Source organism: Homo sapiens, chromosome 2, assembly GCF_000001405.40.
Source record: "Homo sapiens chromosome 2, GRCh38.p14 Primary Assembly".
Lineage (NCBI taxonomy): Eukaryota > Metazoa > Chordata > Mammalia > Primates > Hominidae > Homo > Homo sapiens.
The window spans coordinates 46,270,667-46,290,181 of NC_000002.12; the positions used below are offsets into that span (position 1 = coordinate 46,270,667).

Here is a 19,515-nt window from a genome sequence, read left to right on the forward strand (position 1 = left end):
ACTGGACAGGTCCCTCTGCAGATGGGAGCTGCAAATGCAGCCCTTACCCTACAAACAATCCCTACCCTTTTCTCCCGGGCACACATCCCCTTGAAAGTTATCCTTGGCAGATATGACTCTCTCCACCAATCCTATGGTCTCCCAGGACCCAGCCCTGCCAAAGAACAGGCTGTGGCCCCAAATGGGACACATCAGTTAGGCACAGGGAGCGTCCAAGCTCAGGTTTCTCTATTTGCTTAAATTAATCCTTTGTTATTGTTCGACATTAATGTCTTATTAAATCAAGGTGGGCCTTCACTGGCATGTGAATGCTGGTAAGAGTTGGCAGAGCTGGGCATAATTGTGCTCTGGGTACAGAAGCCAGCATCTTGGTTTGCCTGGGTGTGGTGACAGCGGCAGTAGCCTGGAGCAGTCTTTCAGGATGTGGGAGATCTTGTCCGTCACACAGCTAGGAGGTGATGGGACTGTCCTGGCTGAGAAAGGCCACTGGAAAAAGTTGGTCCCTCCTTTACAGTCAAAGCACATGTTTCCCAAAAGGGAAAGCAGTTCTATTGTTAATGGGGAGATACTAATGAATTGAGAAATTTCTCCAAACCTGACCTGCCATTTGGTGTCAAGGCCTCTTCTGTGGAAGTTCTAAGAAGGGGTTGGGAAGGTAAGCTGGGCTCCCCTGGAGGCTGATCTGAGGCCCCCAAAGCTTCTGCAAGAACCCTTGGGGGGCCGATCATCTTAGAAAGCCAGTGAGAGTGCATACACCCACACACAGGCAGGGGGCTAATGCCTTTTGAATCCCGGGAGAAAGCAGCCACCTTGAGTGCAGAGGTGCTGGGTGAGGCAAACTGGCTGATGTGGTACTTATGTGGGATTGCCGTTTTACTCCTTGAGGGATTATGGCTCTAAACATAAACACCCCTGCAGTTATAGTTTAGAGTTTAAAGAAGTGGTCTAACTAGCGGTAGTCCTCCGCCCCTGGGCAGGATGTTATTTAAACTACATGATTTTTCTTTTCTTTTCTTTCCTTTCTTTTTTTTTTTTTTCTTAGACGGAGTCTCACTTTGTTGCCAGGCTGGAGTGCAGTGGTGCGATCTCAGCTCACTGCAACCTCCAACTCCCTGGTTCAAGCAATTCTCCTGCCTCAGCCTCCGAAGTAGCTGGGACTGCAGGTGCATGCCACCACACCCGGCTAATTTTTGTATTTTTAGTAGAGACGGGGTTTCACCATATTGGCCAGGATGGTCTTGATCTCCTTACCTCGTGATCCACCCGCCTCAGCCTCCCAAAGTGCTGGATTACAGGTGTGAGCCACCGTGCCCGGCCACCACATGGTTTTTCTAATGCTTCCATGTATTCCCTCCCATCAGGCCTCCGCTGTATCTGCTCACCTTCTTTAGAGTGTCTCCCACAGAAATACTGTCTCTCCTCTCTTTCTGTACTTTCTTCATTCCTCAATTCCAGGCAGCACAAATGACTTGCCTCTAGTTGAGAATGTTGAAGGCATTCTCTTCATCTTGCATTTCTCGTTGCATTTCCAGATGGTAGCGTAGTGCCCAGCACCAAGTGGCTGCTCAGAGCGTTTCAGAATTGACTGGAATGCTTCCCCCCTGCCCACCTGAGAGACTCGATGGCCTCTGTCAGTGGCTGCTTTCCAACTCCCCTGGAAGCCAGTTCCTAACCCAAATTCTTTACCCCGAATGTCAACCTTCTTTTCCTAAGAAATAAATTACTAGAGATGAGGGAGGGCTTCTTCCTTAGTCTTTGGTTTCCATGAGGAGGGAATTATCTGTGCACTCCTGGCAGGTTACTCCACCATGCCCGACCCCCGACAGAGGTGAACTGCGGTAGTGACTGAGTGAACAGTTTGGGAATGGATCAGGGGCCAGTTGGGTGTGCCTCACAGCAGGTAGTTTGCACTCTAAGGTGCTCTGACAGGGGTAGGGGTAAAGGATCTACCAACTGGGGGCGCCTGTAGCTGGTTGGGGGTCTGCTGAAGCTGGTCTTCTCAAGGGCCCCCTTGGGAAGTCCCTAGTCCTCAGCAGCTCAGTCCATAACAGAGCCGACATCTTTCCCTCCATCCGCTGTTTCTATATTTCAGAACTTGGGGCCTGGCACAGTAGTTCACACCTGTAACCCCAATATTTTGGAAGACAGAGGTGGGAGGATTGTTTGAGGTCAGGAATTCAAGACCAGCCTGGGCAACATAGTGAGACCTTTGTCTCTACAAAAAAATTAAAAAATAGTCATGTATGGTTGGTGTGCACCTGTAGTCCCATCTACTCAGGAGGCTGAGGTGAGAGGATCGCTTGACCCCAGGAGATAGAGGCTGCAGTGAGCCAGGATCATGCTACTACACTCCAGCCTAGGCAACAGAGTGAGTCTGCCTCCAAAAAAAGAAAAAAACAGAATTTGGATGGGGAAAACATGATTGTTATGTTTCAACCTCCTCAGGCTCCAACAGGCCCAGAAAGAAACTTAAGAGGCATTTTTAAGAACTGTCTTGAGGCCCAGAGGCACATGGGAAGCTGGGTGCCCAGGGTCTGGAACCCTATTTTACAGAATAGCTGTCTGGGTCTCTAAATCTGTTCTTGGTTGCTTTTTCTCCTTAGGGCCTCTTGACATGTACAGACGCTTGGCTGAGTCCTGGAAGCTGCAGTGTTGACTTAGACACTGTCCTCAGCCCGGTGTAACTACACAGGGTCAAAATGAGTCAGCAGGCACCCCAGGCCCTCATTCGTTTTCCACAGTCTCCTGACGGAAATCTCTGGGCAGACGGGGAGGTATCAAGGAACCACCAGGGAGCTAGGCTGAATTCTGGGTAAGGCAGGAAGGACGATGAGGTGTCTCAGGAAGAAAGTCAGGACACCCCCAGCAGCCATTCTCCCTTTGTAATTAGAGCCCCCACCCACCCAGCTCTCTGGAGATCAGGAGTACTGGCCAACACTTCCTGTTTAGAGCAAACATTTGCTATAGCTGAACTTTGTGTCCAATCCCTGAAATGGGTACATAGGAAGGGCACCCTGAAGCTAAATAAAACATGTATCTTAGGGATCTTAGGTCAGGCTAAACTTTCAGTGTGTACTTCCTGAGCCAATTGTGGAGAATTCTTAGCTTTCCATTTCCCTGAGGAGTTAACACTTGACAACTTTCACGGAGGAGTGATTGGAAAAACATTGCTCTAAAGAAGTCTTGAAATTTCTGGGCCCAATGTGAGCCCCAAATTAAACAATTCTAGTAGGTCACTGTATCTTTAACTGGCTCATCTCTATGACCCAGATGGAGGGAGGGAGCTGCCTGCCTTGGGGACGTTCCTGCCTTACCCAGAATTCAGCCTAGCTCCCTGGTAGCTCCTTGATACCTCCCCGTCTGCCCAGAGATTTCCTTCAGGAGACTGTGGAAAATGGATGAGGGCCTGGGGTGCCTGCTGACTCATTTTGACCCTGTGTAGTTACACCGGGCTGAGGACAGTGGCTAAGTCAACACTGCAGCTTCCAGGACTCAGCCAAGCGTCTGTGCATGTCAAGAAGCCCTAAGTAACTAGCACTGGGTGATTTTACAACTTGGTTAAACGCAAGCTGTCACTTCCATGGCTAGTGGATTGATCATTTACCAATCTTTAAAGAACAGTTCTGTCAAGCAAACCTAACCAATCCTTCTCTGATGTGTCAGACATATTTCAGGATCTCTTGGGATTTCAGAGTACTCTTGGAACTATCATTCCCATTGCACAGATCTGTCCACTAAAAGAGTAGGAAGCTTATGGGAAGAGCTAGTGCATTTAGTCTAGAGAAAGGTTGACTCAGTCTACAAATACAGGAAGGGCCAGACAAATTTGGTCTCTCCCAGGGAGCAGAACCATGTCCAATACATGGAGGGAGGGAGCTGGCTGCCTTGGGGACATTCAAAGAAAGACTGTATATGCATCAGCCAGGATGCATAGAGGGAGTGTTTATGTCTCCCATGAGGGCTGGTTTCCAAGACATTCCCACCTGTTATGGACTGTATTCCCCCAAAATGTATATGTTGAAGCCGTAACCCTCAATGTGATGGTGTTAAGGAGCAGGACCTTTGGGAGGTGATGAGGTTTCGATGAGGTCATGTGGGTGGAGTGTCCATGATGAGGTTAGTGCCCTTATAAAAAGAGGATGAGATACCAGAGCTTCCCAGCCTCCAGAACTGTGAGAAATAAATGTCTTTGACTTAAACCACCGAGTCTAGGGTATTTTGTTACAGCAGCAGGACTGGCTAGGATACCACCCACGAGTCCTTAATTTCATGGAGGTTAAAGAGATGGGGCTGAGTCTACACCAACCTTATGAGATGCCCTGAACATTATAAAAAAGAAAGAAAATTTGCTCCTTTGTCTCCTCTCAAAAGCAGGCAAAAATTCCTATGGTTTGTACTTTCATTGAATTCTGGATAAACAGCAATCTGACAAATCTTCATGTGTTTTCCTGGGATCTGGAAGGTGCTACTTAGCGATGGCCTGGGGGCAGAGGTATGCTGGGCTTCACTGTATCTTATGAGTCTATGAGCATTCTCAAAAGTCCTGCACTCGGAGATTGTAGTGACAGGTAGAGACCCAAATTACCAGGAGGTGACATTGGCTGAACCACTACTGCCAGAGACCACCTCTCAAGTTTTCTTCTTTTCTGTTCATCCAACTTCTCCACCATCTAATTCATGTGGCAACAATTGAGGTCTAGGTCAGAGGCAAAAAATAAAACATGCAGGAGGCCAAGGAAGAAAGGCAGACCCTTTATGTGGGAAGAGCAAGTGGCTCTCTGCATGGTAAGCCTTGAGAGACACTTATAAAGTGCCTTTGTCCCCACTCCCACCCCATCCATGCTCCCTGACCCCTCATTCTGCAAAGCTCTGCCCCACCACACTGCCATGGTGCCTTGGTCTACTGACTAGTTATACAGCAACACCAAGGCTGGATCCAGGGTATTCATTAATTCAGCAAAGCTCCAAGTAGTCATCACAGAAAAAAATATATGAATCTTGTTGTTCTTCCTTATGTTTCCTTTATTTTTCCTTGAAGTGTTTTAAAGTTACAGAAAAGTGAAAAGAACAATATAACCAGCATCCATATTTTCACCACCTAAAACAAGCCTTCTTTCTCCCATTTGCTTCTAATCACTTTATTTTGCAATAAATAAACATTTCAGATAGAGCTAAGTGTCCTTGTATTCTTGCCCCAATCCTACTCTTACATATCTGTTTGTGTCTCTTTCTTTTTATATAAATAAATATAATGTAATTATAAAATTATGAATAGGTACTGGGACACTGGGATATTTTCAGTGCTTGGGGCCCTGTTTAGAGGGACTTTGGGGTCCAGGAGAGACCTGTCACTCAGCAATGAGGTGACCCGCTCCCTGGGCTCGTGCCCAGCAGCCAGTAGGGCCTTGTGACCTCAAGCTCTCTCTCCTCCAGGCGGGAGAAGGCCAGGCAGGCTAGGGCTGCTTCCTAGAAAGCTCCGCCCAGGCTTCCCCTGGCTGGCTGGGGGGAGGCGTTTCCGGGACGCAAGACCCCGGCAGCCTGGCAGGGCCGCCCTGCGGAGGAAGCGCTTTATTCTCCGAGTGGCACGTTCGCCCCAGGCCGTGCCAAGTGCCCCGCTGGGCGGCAGGGAGTAAGGGGAACCCGCGCCACTCTGGGGGGCCCAACTAGGCCTTGGGGTTTGCAGGGAAGCCCGAGGGCACTCATTTGTTGGTGCCCTAATGATGGTAGCATTTCTTGCACACATGCATACGTCTTACAGCTCTGTGCTGGGCACTGGAATTACAAAGACGGTTTCTTCCTTCATTCATTTGTTCCACAGATAGTCATTGAGCCTCTACCTGTGCCAGGCACAGTTGTAGGTGTAGGGGAAACAGCTGGGGAACAAAATATATAAAGGTCTTTGCTCCCCTGGAGTCACATTCCAGCAGACACAATGAGTAATAGACATAAGAAGTGAGCATATTCTACTGTAGATGTTAAGTGCTATGGAAAGAAAAAAAGAAAGAGGACAGCAGGGTCGGGGAAATTAATAATAGAGGGGGGAGTGGGGAGAGAGTTGCCAAATTAGGTCTCTGGGGGAAGAGCATTCTAGGTAGAAGAAACAGAGCATGAAAAACCCTGATATGGGAGCCTGCCTGGTAGAATGTGATTTATGCAGAGATGGTTTCCTCCCTCAGACACTTGAGCCTCATCTGGACTCTCTAAGCTCCCCTAGAGGAAAAAATGTAAAATTTCCCTAAGGCAGGGCCCACAGTGAGTGGCCACATCTGAGCTCCAATGGCTACTATGATCTGCAGGATAAAATTTATACACCTTGGGACACCCACAGGTATCCTCATTATCTGGACCTCGTGTATCACTCCAGTTCCATTTCCCACCCGTTTCTACTTTCTCCCCTGAAGCTTGACCCGTGACTTCTGGTTCTCTAGGTGCACCATGATGCTTTATTTAGGCCTTGGCTCAGAGCATCTCCTGGAATGTAATAAATGTACTTTGCTCCTACCTGCATTTACCCGAGAAGCCCTTACTCTCCCTTTAAGACTCTGTTCAACATCACCCTCTGTGAAGACTTTTTTCATTTCCCTCTGAACATTCCAGCCCCATCCTCTGCTTGTTTGACACCTGGCACAGACCTCAACCGGCAAGTGTCTGGCTACATTGCAGCTATGCATTGACTTGTCTGTGGTCCCACTGGATGTAGTGGTTCTATCTCCCTCACCTCTGTGTCCTCAGCATCCAGCACCTGCCTCGTGCAAAGTAAGTCCTCAAGAAAGACATGCCAGGTGACTGAATGGGCAGTGCTTGGTTGCTCAGGGCCCCTGAGAGGGCCCCGGAGGCCTGCACCAGGCAGCACCTGGCCTGTCTTGAGCTATTTAACAGACTGTATTCACAGCTGTGAACTCCCGGGACAAGGATTTCCTGTGGGTGAGGGACTGGCGGGGAGAAAGGCCCTCCTTTTAACCACAGAAAATGGCAGGCTCGGGGGCATTGTTATCCAAGAGAATAGGAGGAGCCGCCCCTCTCCCTGACCCCACCCTTGCCCTGGGTGCCAGTCTGTACTGGTGCACAACTCCTGGAAACTCTGGTCAGAAATGTGCTTCCTCTCCCTCCCCCAGGGACTCTGAGCACTCCTGGGGCAGTGGCGCCTCAGCTGCTGAGATCAAGGTACACAAAGAGTGTGCTGGGCTGGTGGATTGGCCACCACTCAGCCCCCAAGGCCTGCCCAGTCTTTCCTTGAAAGTCCTTCGCCACTGGTCCTTTTCTTCCCATTCCCACCTCCACAGTCCTAATCCATGCCCCTGGCATCTCATCTGGATGGCATGAATGTCTCTGACTCACCACCTTGTCTCCAGTCCCTACCAGTTCCTACTGTCTCCTGCCAATGTTTAGAATCACCTTCAGATACCTCTTTTCAAAGTCACCTCTTTGTTTGGAAATGTGCAGCAGATGCCTCTCATTGTCCAAAGGACAAAGTCTGGACACTCAAACCTGGCATTCTTAGTCCTTTGCAAACTGACCCCAACTCTCTTGTGTGTACTTTTCCCTACTTCTCCCCTTCACCAGCCTCCTTCCAACAGTCTACACACTGTCCCTCAAATGTCCCAGCTCTGTGCTTTACCCGTCCTGAAAGCCTTTCCCAATCCTCTGTGGCAGTCCAGCCCTAACAATCCTTCTGCACTCCCAGACAGTCCTGGCTCAAGCCATGTCTGAGCTCTGTGTCCTTTGTGCATATACCTCTACAACAGTTATTTGATAACCAATTGGATGGTCAATCTTGAAAACTTTTAAGGTCCCTTCAGTCCTGCAGTTCTATGCTACCATATGTTTTTGCTGTTATTTTTCACAAGTCTGTCTTAGTTCTCCATTTACAGAGTAAGAAACCTGAGGACCAGACCTTGCCTCATATTGGTCTGCATCTTCTGTGATATAGTAGTGCCTGGCACAGGGTAGGAGCCTCAATATGGGTTTACTAATGGAAGATTCCAGACCCCCATCTGCAGGTATGGCCATTCTCAGTAGTTCCCTGTTCAGTTCCCTTATGCAGGGGCTCTCACATACTTGCCTTCTGAAGGGGAGCTGATAAATATATACATATCAATACGTACATATTAATATATTTGTCCTCCAAAGGGAATCTGCATTGTGAAAGGTATCTAGAAAGAACATTCAGCTTTAGTGGTGGGATGCCAGTTACCAGTGAAGGCAAAATGCTTGGCATAGGAACCTTCCTTGGAGCCATCTCCCTACCTTCTTTCCCTGGATGTTCTGCCAGCTCTAGACTGGGGGGATAGAAAGAGGAGAAAAAAACCATTTACAAGGAAACTCCCTCTCACTCCTTCACTCTGTGCAAACTTTACCTCCCTAGATGTCATCCTGAGAAGAAACCCTGAATATGGGTTGTCAGGGTGAAGGGAAGGAGGGGTCGTCCCTATTCCTCCATCACTAGTCAGCAAGGCTGCCTGAGCTCCAGCTGGCACCATGCCCTGAAGGAAGGAGCTAGCTCAGTCCTCCTGGGCCAACAGACCTGCTGGGAAGAGAAATGTTACTCGAGTAAAGGAGAGTGAGACAGACTGTCAATGGCACATAGGGTTCAGAGCAAGAAAGATGTGTGCGGGAAAGAAGAGGGAGGGAGAAACAAACCTGCATTTATTTGAGCATCTGTTATGTGCCAGGCACTGTGCTGGTCACATTCATCATCTAATGTTCTCAACGATCTTGATAACTGTCCTTAGCTCCATTCTCCGATATAGAAGTTCATTTCTTCTCAGACCGTTTCTCTATTGTTCTTTTTTCTGTTTTTTTAATAAGCTCATGAAGTATTGATAGTCATTATAGATATGGCATATAAAAGAATATAAAAGTGTATGGAAGAAAATAAAAATCACATATAATCCCATGCCCAAGATAAATCATTGCTAGCATTTAAGTGTGTGCATTCCTAGTTTTAAAATTCATTTTAAACATATATTTAAAATATGTATATACAATTTTCTGTTCTTCTTTTAATGACCTTTATAACAAAAATTTTCCATGTCATTAAAATTTCTTTTTTTTTTCTTTTTTTTAAATTTTTTTTATTTGATTATTATTACGCTTTAAGTTTTAGGGTACATGTGCACAACGTGCAGGTTAGTTACATATGTATACATGTGCCATGCTGGTGTGCTGCACCCATTAACTCGTCATTTAGCATTAGGTATATCTCCTAAAGCTATCCCTCCCCCCTCCCCCCACCCCACAACAGTCCCCAGAGTGTGATGGTCCCCTTCCTGTGTCCATGTGTTCTCATTGTTCAATTCCCACCTATGAGTGAGAATATGCGGTGTTTGGTTTTTTCTTCTTGCGATAGTTTACTGAGAATGATGATTTCCAATTTCATCCATGTCCCTACAAATGACATGAACTCATCATTTTTTATGGCTGCATAGTATTCCATGGTGTATATGTGCCACATTTTCTTAATCCAGTCTATCGTTGTTGGACATTTGGGTTGGTTCCAAGTCTTTGCTATTGTGAATAGTGCCGCAATAAACATACGTGTGCATGTGTCTTTATAGCAGCATGATTTATAGTCCTTTGGGTATATACCCAGTAATGGGATGGCTGGCTCAAATGGTATTTCTAGTTCTAGATCCCTGAGGAATCGCCACACTGACTTCCACAAGGGTTGAACTAGTTTACAGTCCCACCAACAGTGTAAAAGTGTTCCTATTTCTCCACATCCTCGCCAGCACCTGTTGTTTCCTGACTTTTTAATGATTGCCATTCTAACTAAAAAACATCTTTAGTGCATTCACAGTGTCCCATTATGTGGTGATACAACAAGTTTCTTAGCTGTTCTCCAACTGCTAGATACCTGTTTTCCTATTTTTTAAATTATAAGTAATGGTTTAATCACCATTGAGTCTTGGCTCTTTATACCAACATGTTTCACTGAATTTCTGATTTTTTAAACATATTTGAAGAAGAGGAATTACTGGGTCAAACAGTGTTATTGTGATTTTAAATAGTAGTTTATTTTCACATTTTAAAAGTAATGCTTCTTTACTGTGAAAAGCTTAGAAAATATAAGAAAACGTCATGTATGACCTTTCAAATTACTATTATTAACCTTTTGGGGTGTTTCTCAGTCTATTTTCTAATATATAAGCATAAATATAGCAGCATAAAATTGAGATTATATATTATGTACGTTATTTCCTGCTTATCAGCAAACATTGTATTGTAATCACTATATCATCAATCTATGAAAATATTTTTATTAGCTGTAAAATTCCACTTTAAGAATGCATTATAACCAATTTAAACATTCTTTTACTCATGGCCATTTAGATTTTTTTCCAAAAATTTCCTGTTAATAACTCTGTGATGAACATCTGAACATCTGTGAATATTAATCTTTGACCTCATCTCTGATTATATCCTTCAAACAGATTCCTAGAAGCGAAATTACTAGGTCAAAATGCATGAGCATTGTTAAAGCTGTTGGTACATATTGCCAAATTGTGTTCCAAAAAGCATTCCTAATAACCAAGTGGAGGTTGTCCATCTTATCACACCCTTGTCAATACTGATTATTATAGATTAAAAACTATAGTAGTTTTTCATAAGTGAAACGTGCCTCATTTCTTTAATTTTCACTTTTATTATTAGGGATGTTAAACATGTCTTAAAACGTTATTAGCTACATGTATTTCATCTTTTGGAATTATCTGTTTGTGACTCTTATCTACTTATTGTTTTTGTCTTATATTTCTTTTCAAAATTTATTTATTTATTTAATTTTTTGTGACATGGTCTCACTCTGTTGCTAAGTCTGGAGTGTAGTGGTGTGAGCTTGGCTCACTGCAGCCTTCACTACTTGAGCTCAAATAATGCTCCCACCTCAGCCTCCTGAGTAGCTGGGACTATCACCACACCTGGCTAATTTTGGGGTTTAGAGACAGGATTTTGCTATGTTGCCCACGCGGGTCTCGAACTCCTGGGCTCAAGCAATCTGCCTGCCTCAACCTCCCAAAGTGCTGGGATTACAGGCGTTAGCCACCACACCTGGCCCTTAGTATACTTCTTGTTGTTTTAGATGAACTCTTTATATTTTAAGGATGTTAACTCAATGCCTGTTATATTCATTATTGAAGAATTGTCCAAAAAAAGAAGAAAATAGCATCATTTTTATAGAAATGGAAGCCAAGACTCAATGAGGAAAGTGAATTATCTAAGGTCAGCCAACTGGCAAGTGGCCTAGCTGGGATTTGAACTCAGGTATGACTGGCTCCAGGGCTCTTCATCAGAAAAAATAATAAGACAATAACAGTAGCTGTGGAAGCCTTAGTGGTAGAACTTGAGTATGTTCTGTGGGATGACTAGAGGTCAGCTGTTGGAGGGGTTGGGGACACATATGGGGAAGGAGAAGGAACAAGGTGCTGTGGACTTGGGAGCCAGAAAAGGACCTGGCTTGGTGCCAGCTATGCATCTTTCTACCCATTGCCTCCAAGCTGAGGTACATGCTCTTGGCACCCCTCATCCCTTCACAACCCTTCAGAGGATTGCCTCCAGCTACTTACCCACGTCTTCTCCAAATCTGCCAGGTGTACAGCAGTGCAACCTTTGACTTGCCCTCAACTGTATATTCCCAAGGCTTTGAGGGGGTCCCTTTTATCTCTTGCTCCATTATTTAGGGATGAGAGCAGCCTTGGAGGCAACATTTCCTGCAGAGTTTAGAATCTAAGGACTTCTTTGATCAACTTTTCTTACCCAATCACGCTTATTCCAACCCACAGTTCTATGATCCTTGCTAATTGGCAGGGAAAGAAATGGGAAGAGGAGGGAGAAGAAACAAAAAAGGAGAAGACTGGATTGCTGATTTCCTTAGGAGGGGTACCCATGGTCTCCCATCTAGTCTATAAGCTCCTTCGCTTCCCTGCAGCCTCTCCACTTCTGCCTTTCTCTTCCCCTAGTAGAGGGGCTGCACTGAGGAGGGGGCTTAGTAAATACCTGAGGATAACTGAAGGGGATCAGACTGCTGCTGCAAAGAGCTTGATGCTCTCCTCCCTGGCCCAGGAAGGAAAGGAGGTAAATCATCATCATCATCATCATCATCATCCAGTAGTTTAATCTTGCATTGCAGTGTCAGAGAGGTCCCCTTTGGGGAGTATAGGGAAGGTGACGTAGGAAGGAGGAAGAGGAGAGGCTCCTGGTTACCTGCCCTCTCTTCTCTTTCATGGCTCCACCTGGGCCTGTCCTTAGGGAGTTTGGAAATGCCTAAAAATTTATCTTGGGATTTAACTGCACTGTGGGAAATGGTTGGAAACTTGCAGGTTTTGGAGGCTGTATGGAAGCCGCAATGGAAGGGTAGAAAAGCTGCAGTGTCCCTGGAGGGGGAAGAGAATTGCGAAGTTCTGCAGGTTGAAGGCAAATAAAACAGAAACATGACCTACAGAAATGAATGAAGAGCATCAGAAATTATTAAATACAGCGGTAACTTTAAAAAACATACTCTATTCAATTCTTAATGTCTTTAAGACATAATTATCTAAAGCAATAACAACAACAACAATAATAGTGGGGCTTATGACATACACAGTACTTAGGTATACGATAACAGTAGAACAAAAGATGGGGGTTATAAAAGGGAATGACACTGGTTTAAATTCTTTCATGTGATTTCAATGTAGACTATGAAAAGTTTAAGATACCTATTATAACCCCTAAAATAAACACAAAAGTTAAACAAAGAGATTTAGCTAAAATGCAAATGGAGGAGGCAAAATGGAATACTAATACTTGATTGATCCAAAATATGGCAAGAAAAAGGAAAGAAAGAACCAACGGGACACATAGAAAATACATGATGGCATGTATTCATTGTATATTATCCCCAAAGGGAAGAAATTAGATGATCTCTAAGGTCTTTTCTAGCTTTCAGTGTCTCCAATTTTAGTCCATACCTCCCCCATCAGTTTCCACTCAGGGAAACTGATGCAGATCTAGTTAAGGTTCAGTGTGGCAGGACTGGGATGACAGTCTGACCTGCTGGATCTTATATCTAGAATTGGTCCATCGAGTAGAGGGGACTGTGCTTATGGATTTGGGTTTGTCATTGAGATTAGAGTGCCAAGTTAAGGTGGTTATTAGGGACAGGATTAAAGTTAGAAGAAGGTGTTGTTTACACAGTCAGGCCTAGGGTTAAGGCCACATTTAGAGTCAAAGTCCGCTCTGGAGTTACTGCTGGCTTTGGCTTGTTGGTCAGATTGGAGGTGGGGAGTGAGCCTAGGGCTCAGGAGTCTTAGATCAGTGGGGACGGGGTGACCCAGCAGAGCTTGTGCAATCTCTCATAGCAGCTATTCACTCATATTGGGCATATTGTTTCCCATCATTAATAACTTCTTTTCCTTCACTCTCTCCCAGGACTTTTCTCTCTTTCTTTTATCAATACAGTGCAATATCCATTCATTCAAAAAGCTCTTCATTAATTACCCTCTAAGTGCCAGGTACTAATCTAGGTACTGGGGATGCAGCATCAACAAAACAAAGTCCCTGACGCCATGGAATTGATGATCTGCTGATGGGAGGCAGGAAACAAACACGTAAACAGATAAATGAGATGATTCCAGAGAGCAAAAAGCAGGCAGTGGGACAGAGTGATTTGGAGGACAAGGAAGCCCTGGATTGAGAAGGAGCCAGGCTGTGGAGAGTCAGTGGGGGAGAAGCATGATGGCAGCCTGGTGTGAGAGATGGGGAGGAAAGCAGCTTAAAGAAGGTGAGCCACCTGGACTGTGCTCTCTCTATTGGGAAGCCACAGAGAGTGTGAGCCAGGAGTGACATGGTCTCATTTGAGGTTTAAAAGATGACTCTGGCTGATGTGTACAAAATAGCCTATGAGAGAAGAGAAAACCAAACAAAAAAGAAAAATGGACTAAGAGAGAGGAGCCCTGGATCCCTCAATATGCTGTGTGATCTTGGATACGCCACTTAGTCTCTAACTAAATGCTGATAGTAACATCTGTGTTGTTGATGTCAGAGAAACGAGGTAGGAATCAGTGATAGACTGTTTAAAAAGTTACTTTTAAAGAACAAAGGGCTATACAAAAGCTAAGTCTGTGGTGATTTCCCTCCTCCTTTGTATATGGACACCTGCTTAAATGCAATTGATTATGTGGGGTGTGTATAATAATAATTTGAGTTAATTTCCTCCATGAACATTGGGGCTTCTGAGACGTCGCTTGCACAGCGGCTGGTTAGCTAATTTGGTTAATGAGGCCAGACTCAGCTGTGTAACCCTAGAGCTAGCCAGATTCTTCCCCTCCATTCCCAGGCCAGGAATGCTCAGAGGCCCTGATCGACAGCTTTTAAGTGGATGTTGCTGGTCACCAGCAGCCCCACTGACAGAGTGAAGATTATTTCCCGTGGCTTCACTGCTGAGGCAGCCCCTGGTGCAAGGAATTCTCACTCCTCAACCTCTGGAAGTCAGATGAGCTTCAAGCCTGGTGGCCCCACATCTCTAAGGCAATTGGTGGGGGTGGGTGGGTGGGAGGATTCAGGATCAACAGAAACCCCTGGGGAGGTGTCCACGTGTTTGTTGTGTTGTTGTTGATGTTGCTGATGAAAGCTTTCCTGTCCTTAGTGAGAAATAAGAGAAATAAAAGCCTGTGGCACATCAAGAAAGGTTTTAGTGTTCCTCCAGCAGTGTTATCTGTGTCCAGCCCTGGCCCTGCAGGCCAGATCTCAGTGATAGGGCATTTTGTTTAACCACACACATGCACAATGCAGAAAACAATCAACTAAACAACAACAACAAAATGCAAGAAGCCAGACCCCATCTGCACATACACTTTGAGTGGTGCTGTAGGTGATTTGTGTGTCTGAACACTGTAGAGGCCTTGGAGATCATTTAATCCTTACAGCACCCTCTGAAGTGGGTAACTTCATCCCCATTTTACAGATAAGGAATTTTTTTTTTTTTTTTTTTTTTTTGAGATGGAGTCTCACTCTGTCGCCCAGGCTGGAGTATAGTGGCGCGATCTCAGCTCACTGCAAGCTCCGCCTCCTGGGTTCACGCCATTCTCCTGCCTCAGCCTCCTGGAGTAGCTGGGACTACAGGCGCCCACCACCACGCCCGGCTAATTTTTTTGTATTTTTGGTAGAGACGGGGTTTCACCACGTTAGCCAGGATGGCCTTGATCTCCCTACCTCATGATCCGCCTGCCTCAGCCTCCCAAAGTGCTGGGATTACAGGCGTGAGCCCCCGTGCCCGGCCCCAGATAAGGAAATTTATATCAAGAAAAGTTAATGGATTTGTCCAAGGCTATAGGATGAATTACAGAGCTGGGAGGCCGACCACGTCAGTCTGATTCCGAGACGCCGTGCTCTCCGGTCCTCAGGCTTGGACAGTCCCAGAGCATTTACTGTACCTTTTTTTTCTCTTTCCATGAAGCCCAGAGCTCCCAAAACCCTGGTAACTCCTCAGGCCAGAGATGATGGAGGACAAGCTGAGACCTCATAGGGCTGGTTTGTCATTCAATCCATCAGAAGACAAATGCTCAATCAGCTGGGCTGCATTAATTGAGGTCTGTGGGGGGTCTGGCAGGACAGGCAGGAGGTATGCATCCCTATGAATAATTTTCGAGCAAGATGCAGCCATGTCTGCGCCCAGTGGAGGGGTAGTGCTGGCCACTGGGAAGGAGCTGACCAGGGGTTAAGGGTGAGGCAGAGTCAAGGGATCCAAGGCATGTCTGGAAGAGGGCAATGCCATGGGTTCAGATGCCACCACGGGGAAGCCAGAGGTCTGACTGTTTCCCTTCCTGGGGCCTGGGACCCTTCCAGGGTCCAGGATCCCTCTGGATCCTAGGAGAGGCCAGGCCAGGGCCACTGGGAGCACCAAGCAAAGCCTGCACCCACATCTCAGGCTTGCCCGAGTGGCCCAGGTGCCAACCCTGGCCCCCTGTCCTCCCCTCCAGAGCCATTCTCGGCACTGCCAGCTCCTAGCTAATGTCTGGATGAGTGACTGAGGCTGCCAGGGTCTAGATACAGGAACAGGGCTAGGAGCAGGGGTTTCTTTCTACGTGCGAGGAGGCCCCAGGAGAAAAGGGAAAATCAGGGGAAGGAGAGGTTCTCATGGAAACACTGTGTGGGGCCAGGGCCATGCAGCACCCTCTAATTTGTGGGGCTGGGCTGACAGCTCCCCTGGGGTGACAAAGTGACTGGGTGTGGGGCAGGTGGGGAGGGAAGGCAGGAAAACCTGTCCTTCCTGTCCGGTGAGCCTCCCTGCCTGCCTGCCTCTCTCTCAACACTATTTTTAAAGTATAACCAGAGGCTTACCACACTCCCACCCAACTGCTCAGGGGCAAGGGGAGGGAGTTCACCCAAAGAGTCCTGCACTAGTGGGGCAGGAAGGGAAAAGGGCCTTCTCCTCCAGAGGCAGGCTAATTTAGCAATGGCAAAGAGCAGGGAGAGAGTCTTTCCCAGCACTTAGAAATGCTTCTGAATTTTAATAGAAACTGATTTTTAAATGATCTTAAATAGAAACTAAGCTTTAAAATGTACTGAATTTATACTACCTTAGTGTACAAAATTTAGTTTCTTTGGTTCCTTCTGAGGCTATTTTATCTTGCTAATGCTCTCCCTTTGGAAATCCATTATGCTATAAGAAACACCAAGATATTAATGATAGGATATTAATAACCACATTTGTATTGTACTTTATACAGTGACTTTGGGCTTAGTATTGCATTTGATTCTATCCCTAAGTGTGTGAGGTGGAATTAGAATTCTCATCTTGCAGATGAGGAAGTGGGGACTCAGAGATGTTGTTCAGGTTGATGGAGACCTGAACCTGGGCTCCAGGATTCAGACTTCAAGCCATGCTCTTCTCCCCTCCCCTTCTCCCACAGTGGGCTCCACAGCATCATCTAATCCAGGGACTTCTAGGCCCACAGGAGAAAAGGGCAAGTTAAACTGCTTCCTATCCCATGTCTAGCCCAGCTTGGAGCAGCTTAGCCCACACAGACCCAGGTCAGATGAGTTCAAACCCTTATATTTATATTGGGCTTTAGACTTTTCTTATCTTATGTCTCAGTTACTTCTCCACCATATGAGGAAGATATGTTTCCTTTAATTTGGCAGAAAAATAAAGTTAGGAATCAGTGGGAAATGGGACCTCATTGCATGTCCTAACGCCTTCTCTCGGGTTCTCTCTGCCATACCTCTCTAGCATTCCTTACCCTCACGCTACCCCAGAACCACCCCAAGGCCCAGCACAGTGTTGGGTTCTTGGGTACTGGCCTGAGTGACTTAAAGCCGTTCATCTTTCCCTCCAGCTCCTCATAAGCAGTCTGGCCAGGCCTGCAGAGAGGAGCCTCTGCTGTCTCTCATCCAAAGACAGTGATGGAAATAGCCTTCCTATCTCTGTAATCAACATGGTCATTGAAACCTTCAAACTCAGTAGAAACTTCTGGGAAAAAAAAGATATATTTACGAGAAAGAGGAATGGGGAAATAAAAGAAGAATTGTAGAGGAGAAATAGAAGAGAAGGAATAGGTACAGAGAACAGGTGGAGGCAGTGCCCAGGGTGAGAAATTGAGTGGAAACTTGCAGGGCCCAAGGACTCCCCACTAGGCCCACTCTTCCCAACTCTAGAGGTCTCTCTAATGTTCCCTATGCCTAAGAATAACTCCTGAGTTGGGCCATGAGGGAGTCTGATTTGCTTTTGACTCCATTTAACATCCTCTGCGTTGAGCAGAGATCACGCCACTATACTCCAGCCTGGGCGACAGAATGAGACTCCGTTTCAAAAAAAAAAAAATCCTCAAGATGCTGTGGCCTCCACAGCCATCCATCTGTACTTCTAGGCCACAGATACTAATCAGTGTCCCCTCCAACTTCAGGGCTGCAATAATTGGCTCTTTGCTTAGAGTAATGTACTCCAGGAGATTCCAGAACTCATGGGAATGTTGCTCTGATGCTAATGCCTACTGTGCAAAATTTCAGTTTTAAGAGAACATTAAAGTTTTATAAAAATTAGGCTGAACAAGAAAGATACATCTTCTTGGGAAGAACTTGAAAAAGGTGCCTGGTAACCTGAGTCAACTGCTGCACAGGTCAAAGGCATCTGCACTCGGTTCCACAGATGCTCCTGGAGTTTGCAGAAGAATACTCACTACTGCTGTGATGGCCACTTAATTATTAGGAACAAACCCAAGGTAGGAGAGCTGGAATGTCATGACTAAAAGATGAGGGTCATATCCCACTCATCTCTAGCATAGGCATTACTGTCATCCTCAAAATACCCTATCAGGCACTAACTTAGGTGGTCTAAGTACTGCACAAAGTCAGAAGCAGTTGATAGTCTAGCATGGGCAATAATAACTAAATCTCTGCAAAAGGTCTTTTGAGTTGCTCCTGTATGACCTGACATTTGCTTTGCGAATTATCAGAGAAGACTCTGTCCCAATTCTCAACCCAGAATGCTCTTCCTTCCCTGTTCTAACTAGCAAACTCCTGGTCACCCCTCAAGCTGCAGCCAAAATGTCACCTTTTCTAGAAGCCTTCCCTAAGTTCTCCTCCCTCCCACCTCCATCCCCAGGCAGAGTCATTTCCCATTCTGAGCTCCCAGAAAAATGGGGTTTTCTCTTTGGAGGTGTAGTATTTTGTTTAGAAGTCTGTCTCCAATAGGAGAGAGTGAGCTTTAGAGGGTAGAGCCGTGTGTCATTCATCTTTCTCAGCTGAGTTTCAACCACATCCATGCATATGGACTGGACAGTCAATAGATGCCAATGAGTAGAAGAATTACTAGATGAAATTAATTCAACAAAGATCAGAATGCATGCAGTCAAAGGGGATGGTGCCTCAAGCACAGTGGAATTTGAAAAGGAAATTGGAAAGCTGCATTGTGTAAACACCATCGTTTTATTACTTATAAAATGAGCTTTCTACTCTTAACAGGCAAAGCTAACTTGGAATTGTGTATGGCTCTTTTCAGTACTCTTATAATTAGGCTCTTAATTATTCTTTAAAACCTTGGGCACATGAACTTCACTCCGTAATTCTTTCATACACAGTGCACTCTGGGTTCTCTGCCTTGAGGTCATCTACTTAGAGATTTACCCCTGGCATGTTTTTAGGCCAGAAGGCATCTCTTCACCATAAATTACTATCTGATCAGGATGCATTTTAATCTAGCCTAAGATAGAAGTAATTAGGAGAGCTAATCTGCTATCATAGAAAATTAACAATTAAGATAGGGCATGCTGGCTGGGTGCGGCGGCTCACATCTGTAATCCCAGCACTTTGGGAGGCTGAGGTGGGTGGATCACTTGAGGCCAAGATTTCGAGACCAGCCTGGCCAACATGGTGAAACCCTGCCTCTACTAAAAATACAAAAAGTTAGCCAGGTATGGTGGTGCGTGCCTGTAATCCCTGCTACTCAAGAGGCTGAGGCACAAGAATCACTTGAACCCAGGAGGCGGAGGTTGCAGTGAGTGGAGATTGCGCCACTGCACTCCAGCCTGGGCGACAAAG

The 19,515-nt window shown here is 45.9% G+C and overlaps 1 long non-coding RNA gene across 2 annotated transcripts in view, besides 1 other annotated feature; it reads left to right on the forward strand.

The window, feature by feature from the left end:
• Positions 1-19,515, forward strand: part of LOC101926974 (uncharacterized) — a 44,062-nt gene that overhangs the window by 24,230 nt on the left and 317 nt on the right. The gene's annotated exons all lie outside the window — the stretch shown is intronic.
• Positions 13,084-13,378: an enhancer, noted in NCBI's record as "tiled region #3071; HepG2 Activating DNase matched - State 8:EnhW". NCBI's record gives its function as "activates a minimal TATA promoter and a strong SV40 promoter by Sharpr-MPRA in HepG2 cells {active_cell/tissue: HepG2}" and the evidence as "EXISTENCE:reporter gene assay evidence [ECO:0000049][PMID:27701403]".